This window comes from Homo sapiens, chromosome 7, assembly GCF_000001405.40.
Source record: "Homo sapiens chromosome 7, GRCh38.p14 Primary Assembly".
NCBI classification, from domain to species: Eukaryota; Metazoa; Chordata; class Mammalia; order Primates; family Hominidae; genus Homo; species Homo sapiens.
The window spans coordinates 17,976,336-17,984,064 of record NC_000007.14 but is presented as its reverse complement, the minus strand read 5'-3'; the positions used below and the strand labels follow the sequence as shown (position 1 = coordinate 17,984,064).

Here is a 7,729-nt window from a genome sequence, read left to right as displayed (position 1 = left end):
CTTAGGGCAGGAAGAAGATACTGAAGCTGTTTATCTGGGTGGTCTTGGAAGTGACCGTGAAAAAACAAAATGGGATACTACTAAAAGGGCATTCAGAATTTTTTTTTATTTCAAAATTTTGCCTGTTTCCAAGGAAACAAGAGAAAACTAGACTTCCTTTTTTTTAGCTCTCATAAGCCTGACTAATATTGCAGTATTAAAGTTTAGTAATACTGAAAGTTAAATGGGCTTTTAAAAATCAGGAATTGCTTGTATGCAACACTGACTGCTCAATGGAAAATTCCTTACAAAGCTTCGCTTATAAACTGCACCTGGATTTGCTAAACGGTAATAAATCTGGACAAAACTAAGCACATAATATACTCAGTGGGTTAGAGTTTTATAGCTTGGAGTTACTGTCTCTTTGACTGCTAACAGACTTGATTGGATCCTTTGGACAAGAAGGAGAGCATTAAGTATCCCTTCATATCTCAGAGTCTGTTCTGATGGGCAGTTTAAAGTCAAGAATAGTAAAATGGGTGTAGAAATCTAAACTTGATTGGCAACTTTGACAACCAAGGATTTCTTTTTTAAAATTTTGTTTTGTTTACCTTGAGAAAGAGATTTCTATTTCTCCTGTCACTTCCTCATATGAGAGTTAGTTTTATTCTGAGTAATATGTAGCAAATGAAAAAATTCTTCTTTAAGGTGAGTCATCATTCTGCTTTTGGATACCAAAAAGAAGAAGAAGAAGAAAAGAAGAAGAAGAAGAAGAAGAAGAAGAAGAGGAAGAGGAAGAGGAAGAGGAAGAGGAGGAGGAGGAGGAGGAGGAGGAAGAGGAAGAGGAAGAGGAAGAGGAAGAGGAAGAAAAGAAGCAGCTCAGGAAACTGATAAAAAGAAACCCTAGACAAGCAAAGAGGGCTATGTGGAGAAAAATGTTAGATTAGCAAAACAATTTTGAATTGATATCCTGTCTTAAATGTATTATCGGCTCACAGAGCAAAACAAAACCCCTAAATAAACTTTGTGAGAAGACTCAAATTTGTCTGAAAATTTGACATACAGAAATTCCTAAGATTACGAGGGTAATGTGTTTAGTTAATAGGTTTAGGATAGTTTCTTGTAAAAGCTTAGATCTTCGTTGACACAAACATACGCCATTTTATTGTGTTACACTTTATTGCTCTTTGCAGATGCTGCATTTTTTGCAAATTGAAGGCTGTATCAACCCCAAGTTGAACAAGATTATTGGTGCCATTTTTCCAAAAGCATGTACTCATTTCATGTCTATGTCACATTTTGGTAATTCTTGCAATATTTCAACACATTCATTACTATTATATCTATTATGGTGGTCTGTCATCAGTGATCATTCATGTTATTGTAATTATTTTGGGGCAACGTATACTGTGCCTATATAACAGCCAATTTAATCAATAATTTGTATGTATACTGACTGCTCCACTGATTGGTCTTTCCTCCAGCTCTTTATCTCTCCTTGTATCTTCCTATTCCCTGAGACACAACACCATTTAAATTAGGCCAAGTGAAAGGAAGAGTCACACATCTCTCACTTTTCAATCAAAAACTAGAAATGATTAAATTTAGTAAGGAGAACATATTGAAAACTGAGATAGGCCAAAAGCTAGTCTTCTTGCACCAAATAGCTAGCAAAATTATGAATGCAAAGGAAAAGTTCTAGAAGAAAATTAGAAGTGCTACCTCAGTGAACACATGAAACCATAAGAGAGCAAAACAGCCTTTGGCTGATAAGGAGAAAGTTTGAGTGGTCTGGATATAAGACCAAACCAGACACAACATTCCCTTAAACCAAAGCCTAATCCAGAGCAAGGTCCTAACTCTTCAATGCTATGAAGTCTGAGAGAGGGGAAGAAACTGCAGAACAAAAGAGGTTGGTTTAAGAGGCTGAAAGAGAGAAGCTATCTCCAGAACATAAAAGTGCAAGATAAGCCAGGCATGGTGGCTCACGTCTGTAATCCCAGCACTTTGGGAGGCTGAGGTGGGTGGATCACCTGAAGTCAGGAGTTTTAGACCAACCTGACCAACATGGTGAAATCCTGTCTCTACTAAAAATACAAAAATAAGCCGTGTGCGGTGGCAAACACCTGTAATCCCTGCTACTTGGGAGGCTGAGGCAGGAGGATTGCTTGAACCCAGGAAGCAGAGCTTGCAGTGAGCCAAGATCGCACCACTGCACTCCAGCCTGGATGACAGAGTGAGACTCTATCTCAAGGAAAAAAAAAAAAAAAAAAGCAAGATAAAGCCACAAGTGCTGATGTAGAAGCTGCAGCAAGTTATCCAGAAGATGTAGCTGAGATCACTGATGAAGTTGACTACACTAAACAACAGATTTTCAATGTAGATGAAACAGCCTTCTATTAGAAGAATATGCCATCTAGGATATTTATAGCTAGAGAGGAGAAGTCTATGTCTGCCAGCTTCAAAGGGCAGACTGACTCTTGTTAGGGGCTAATTGCAGCTGGTGACTTTAAGTTGAAGCCAATGCTCATTTACCATTCTCAAAATCCCAGGGCCCTTAAGATGCTAAATCTATTCTGTCTGTGCACTAGAATTGGAACAGCAAATCTTGGATAACAACACATCTGTTTAAATCATGGTTTACTGAAAATTTTAAGTCCTCTGTTGAGACCTATTGCTCAGAAAAGAGGATTCCTTTCAAAATAGTACTGCTCATGGACAGTGGACCGGATCACCCAAGAGCTCTGATGGAGATGTACAGGAAGATTAATATTGTTTTTCTTGGCTGTGAACACAACATTCATTCCATAGCTCATGAATCAAGAAGTAATTTTTACTTTCAAGTGTTATTCTTTAAGTAATATATTTCATAAGGTTATAGCTGCCATAGATAGTGATTCCTCTGATAGATCTGAGCAAAATAAATTGAAAACCTTTTGGAAAGGATTGACTATTCTAGTTGCCATTAAAATATTTGTGATTCATAGGAGGAAATCAAAATATCAACATTAATATAAGTTTGGAAGAAGCTGATTTCAACCCATATTGATGACTATGAGGGGTTCAAGCGTTTAGTAGAGAAAATAACTGCAGATGTGGTGGAAACAGCAAGAGAACTACAATTACAAGTGAATCCTAAAGATGTGGCAATCTCATGATCAAAGTTGAATGGATGAGGAGTTGCTTCTTATGTATAAGCAAAGTAAGTGGATTCTTAAGTTAAACCTACTCCTGGTGAAGATGCTGAGAACATTGTTGTAATTACAACAAAGAATTTAGAATATAACCTAAACTTAGTTGATAAAGCAGTAGCAGGGTTGAAGAGGATTGTCTCCATCTTTTTTTGAGATGGAGTCTCGCTCTGTCACCCAGGCTGGAGTGCAGTTGCGTGATCTCAGCTCACTGCAAGCTCTGCCTCCCGGGTTCATGCCATTCTCCTGCCTCAGCCTCTGGAGTAGCTGGGACTACAGGCGTCCACCATCATGCCCAGCTAATTTCTTGTATTTTTAGTAGAGACGGGGTTTCACCGTGTTAGCCAGGATGGTCTCGATCTCCTGACCTCGTGATCTGCCCGCCTTGGCCTCCCAAAGTGCTGGGATTACAGGCGTGAGCCACCATGCCCGGCTGCAATAAGGTATTTTAAAACTAACATATGTACATTTTTTAAGACATAAGGCTATTTCACACAATAGACTACAGTATAGTGTAAACTTAACTTCTTTTTTTTTCTTTTTTCTTGAGACAGGGTCTTGCTCTGTCATCCAGGCTGGAGTACAATGGCTCAAACAAGACTCACTGCAGCCTCAACCTCCTGGGCTCAAGCGAACCTCCTGCCTCAGCCTCTGGAGTATCTAGGAACACAGGTGAGTGCCACCATGCCCAGATAACTTTTTAAAATTTTTTGTAGAGATGAGGTCTTTCCATGCTGCCCAGGCTGGTCTTAAACTCCTGGCCTCAAGCAGTCCTCCCACTCTGGCCCCCCAAAAATGCTGGAATTACAGGTAGAAGCCACCACACCTGGCCTAAACATAACTTCTATATACACTGAAATCTATATACACTGAAATCAAAAAATTGGTGGACTTGCATCATTGTTACATTTGCTTCATTGCGCTGGTCTGGAATCAAACCTACAATATTGCTGAGGTACGCCCGTATCTTGACTTTACTCTTCATAGCTTTATAAACCAAGATCCACCACCCAAAACTTTGAGTATCAGGCTGCTCTCTACTTTCTGAGTCCTAGAAATGTCTCTTCATGTAGTGTAGTTTATTTTAAGCCTGAGGCTTTATTTCTTTACTTTTCTCAACTCTATATAGAAATGGTTCCATTTGACTAGATTGACTAGATAATCAATTGCCTCTTTTCAAAAAGAAACACTTTATTGCCCCCATATTATACGTCTATGAGCTTAACAGATTTTTCTTCTCAAATGTAGACTGATTTCTTTCTTTTTCTTTTTCTTTTTTTTTTTTTTGAGATGGAGTCTCGCCCTCTTGCTCAGGCTGGAGTGCAATGGTGCAGTCTTGGCTCACTGCAACCTCCGCCTCCAGGGTTCAAGCAATTCTCCTGCCTCAGCCTCCTGAGTAGCTGGGATTACAGGTGCCAGCCACCACGCATGGCTGATTTTGTATTTTTAGTAAAGACAGGGTCTCTCCTTATTGGTTAGGCTGGTCTCGAACTCCCGACCTCAGGTGATCCGCCTGTCTCGGCCTCCCAAAGTGCTGGGATTACAGGCATGAGCCCCTGCGCCCGGCTGATTTCTTTCCTGATTAAAAAAAAAAGTCTGAGGCCAGACGCAGAGGTTCATGCCTCTAATTCCAGCACTTCAGGAAGCTGAGGAAAGAGAATCACTTGAGGCCGGGAGTTTGAGACCAGTCTGGGAATCTGGGAAATATCATGAAATCTTATCTCTACACACACACACACACAAAAAAAAAAAAGGTGTTTTTTTTTTTAATTAGATAGATATGGTGGCACATACCTGTAGTCCCAGCTACTCAGGAGGCTGAGGCAGGAGGATTGCTTGAACCCAGGAGTTTGAGGCTGCAGTGAGCTATGACCACAGCACTACACTCCAGCCTGGGCAACAAAGCAAGACCCCATCTCAAAAAAAAATTAATTTAAAAAAGTATGAGATTTTTCAGAGTTAGAGCTAGAGTTAAGGCATAGAGAAGCAACAGCAAAAGGAGTATAAACTAGCTTACCTAACCTATGAACACCTCAGGAAAATATGGCAATTATGGAATTTGTCAGTTTTTTTTTTTTTTCAGACAAAGTCTTGCTCTGTCACCCAGGCTGGAGTGCAGTGGGGAGATCTCGGCTCACTGCAACCTCCGCCTCCTGAGTTCAAGTAATTCTCCTGCCTCAGTCCCCCGAGTAGCTGGGATTATAGGCACGCACCACCGTGCCTGGCTAACTTTTGTATTTTTAGTAGAGACAGGGTATCACCATGTTGGTCAGGCTAGTCTGGAACTCCTGACCTCGTGATCCGCTTGCCTCAGCCTCCCAAAGTGCTGAGATTACAGGCATGAGCCACCGTGCCCAGCCCCCAGTAGGGCTTTTACAGTTTCTGTTTTATATGAGGTTACTACTTTTTATTTTTATGAAGCATACAAATCTAACATTAGAATTGGGCATCATTCCAAATGAGCAGAGTGTTATAATAATCTGTCACATTTTCTAAGTAACTTTTTAGTAAAACAATATCACTTTTACTTATAATTAGTAATGGAATGTCTCATGTTTAATTGAGTACATGTCCACTGAGTAAATACTACATTTCTCCGCTGCCCATGTAGTTAGGTATGGAAACTGAATAGTTTCTATCAAAAGTGAGAGGGTATAATGGGTTCAATTGTGGCTTCTTGAAAGATATGTCCACTTGGAAACGAGAAAAAGAATCTTTGCATGTGTGATGAAGTGAAGGATCCTGAGATAATCATCCTAAATACAGGAAGGGCAGCCCTTAATCCAATGACAAGGCAAAGGTAGAGGAACATTTGAAACACAGAGACACACGGTAGAGAGAGCAATACGACGACAGAGCAGAGACTGGAGTTATGCAGCCCCAAGCGAAGGAATACCTGGAGCCATTAGAAGGTAGAAGAGGCAAGGACGGATTGTCCAGTAGAGCCTTGGTGGAAACATGGCCCTGTTCATGCCTTGATTGATTGCTTACACCTTGTTTCACATTTGTGGCCTCCGAAACTATAAAAGAATAAGTTTTTGTTGTATTAAGCCACCACGTTTGTGGCACTTTCTTACAGCACCCCTAGGAATCTAATATGCCATTCTTGCTCTTCTTCTTTTTTTTTTTTTTTTTTTTTTTTTTTTTTTTTGAGACAGAGTCTCACTCTGTCGCCCAGGCTGGAGTGCAGTGGTGCGATCTTGGCTCACTGCAAGCTCCGCCTCCCGGGTTCACGCCATTCTCCTGCCTCAGCCTCCCGAGTACCTGGGACAACAGGCGCCCGCCACCACGCCCGGCTAATTTTTTTTTGTATTTTTTAGTAGAGACAGATTTCACCGTGTTAGCCAGGATGATCTCGATCTTCTGACCTCGTGATCTGCCCGCCTCGGCCTCCCAAAGTGCTCGGATTACAGGCGTGAGCCACCACGCCCAGCCGCTCTTCTTCTTTCCTGCTCATTCTGAAGGCTGGAACTCCCAAAACAGCATGAGACCATGAAGGAGCCTTAGAAATGAAAGCTAGACAGGGCTAGACATGGCAGAGTAACCCTGTCACCATGGTTTCCCACCTCTACATATCTTAAAATGGAAAAGAAATATCTTCTTTAATCCATTGCTATTTTGAATAATGCGAATCTATACCTCTTGTGTGATATTTATTTTGTGTGGTTAGCTTGTCATCTTCCTGAGAGCCAACCTGACATGAGATTCATCTTTGTGTTCATTTTAAGTATTGATGTTAGTCATATTGCCTGTTGAGTCCTCACTCAACAGGCAATTGTTGAATGGGTGGGTCGATTCAACTTTAAATCTTCCTGTCAGTGTATAGAAGATTAAGCTTCTGAGCTTCATCAAAACCTGATCAAATCTGAGTTTTAATGATAAAGCCTGCTCTATGGTGTTAGGCACATAAAAGGAAGTCAAACAAAATTAGAAGATTGTAGCCATTATAGGGAGAATGTAAGAGACAGAGATACAATTTATTTTATATTTAAATTCCTGTAGTATTTAGTTCCCACTCCCCTCTTCTTCCTGTTCTTGCCCAAATGGAAGGCCTTTGCTTCCCAACAGTGTATCTGTGAGTTGTTAGGGAAACGCTTTAAACCTTCATGCAGACATGAAACATGATAGGAAGCCTTAGAGTCCTAAGCTCTAGTGACCAATAGATAGAGAACTAGAAAGTGAAATTCAACAGTCTTCCTCCCATACCACAATCTAAGATGGAGCTAGGGAACTCGAATTATAAATTATAGTGTGTGGGGGTACCCAAGGGGATATGACCTAACTCCTCCAAAGCCAACATTTTTCATTATTGGGGGTGGTAGTGGAGGAGTATATTTTAGAAAGCTTCTTCAAATCCAAGCAGCTTTCAGCGACAAGATGACATAATCTGTCACTGGCCCAGAGAGAAAGGAACAAGAAAGACAGTAATCCACATTTCTTCTTTTAAATTAAAGTTGACAATCCCAATGCTTTTGATAATCAGCCAGGGTCAGATTTGTGAATTTTAAATCCGGACCATTGGCCGGGTGCGGTGGCTCATGCTTGTAAGTCTAGCACTT

The 7,729-nt window shown here is 40.7% G+C and overlaps 1 annotated feature.

Moving 5' to 3' along the window:
* Positions 6,361-6,550: a silencer, noted in NCBI's record as "fragment chr7:18017138-18017327 (GRCh37/hg19 assembly coordinates)". NCBI's record gives its function as "represses an EF-1alpha promoter that drives an FKBP-Casp9 reporter gene in an ReSE screen in K562 erythroleukemia cells {active_cell/tissue: K562}" and the evidence as "EXISTENCE:reporter gene assay evidence [ECO:0000049][PMID:32094911]".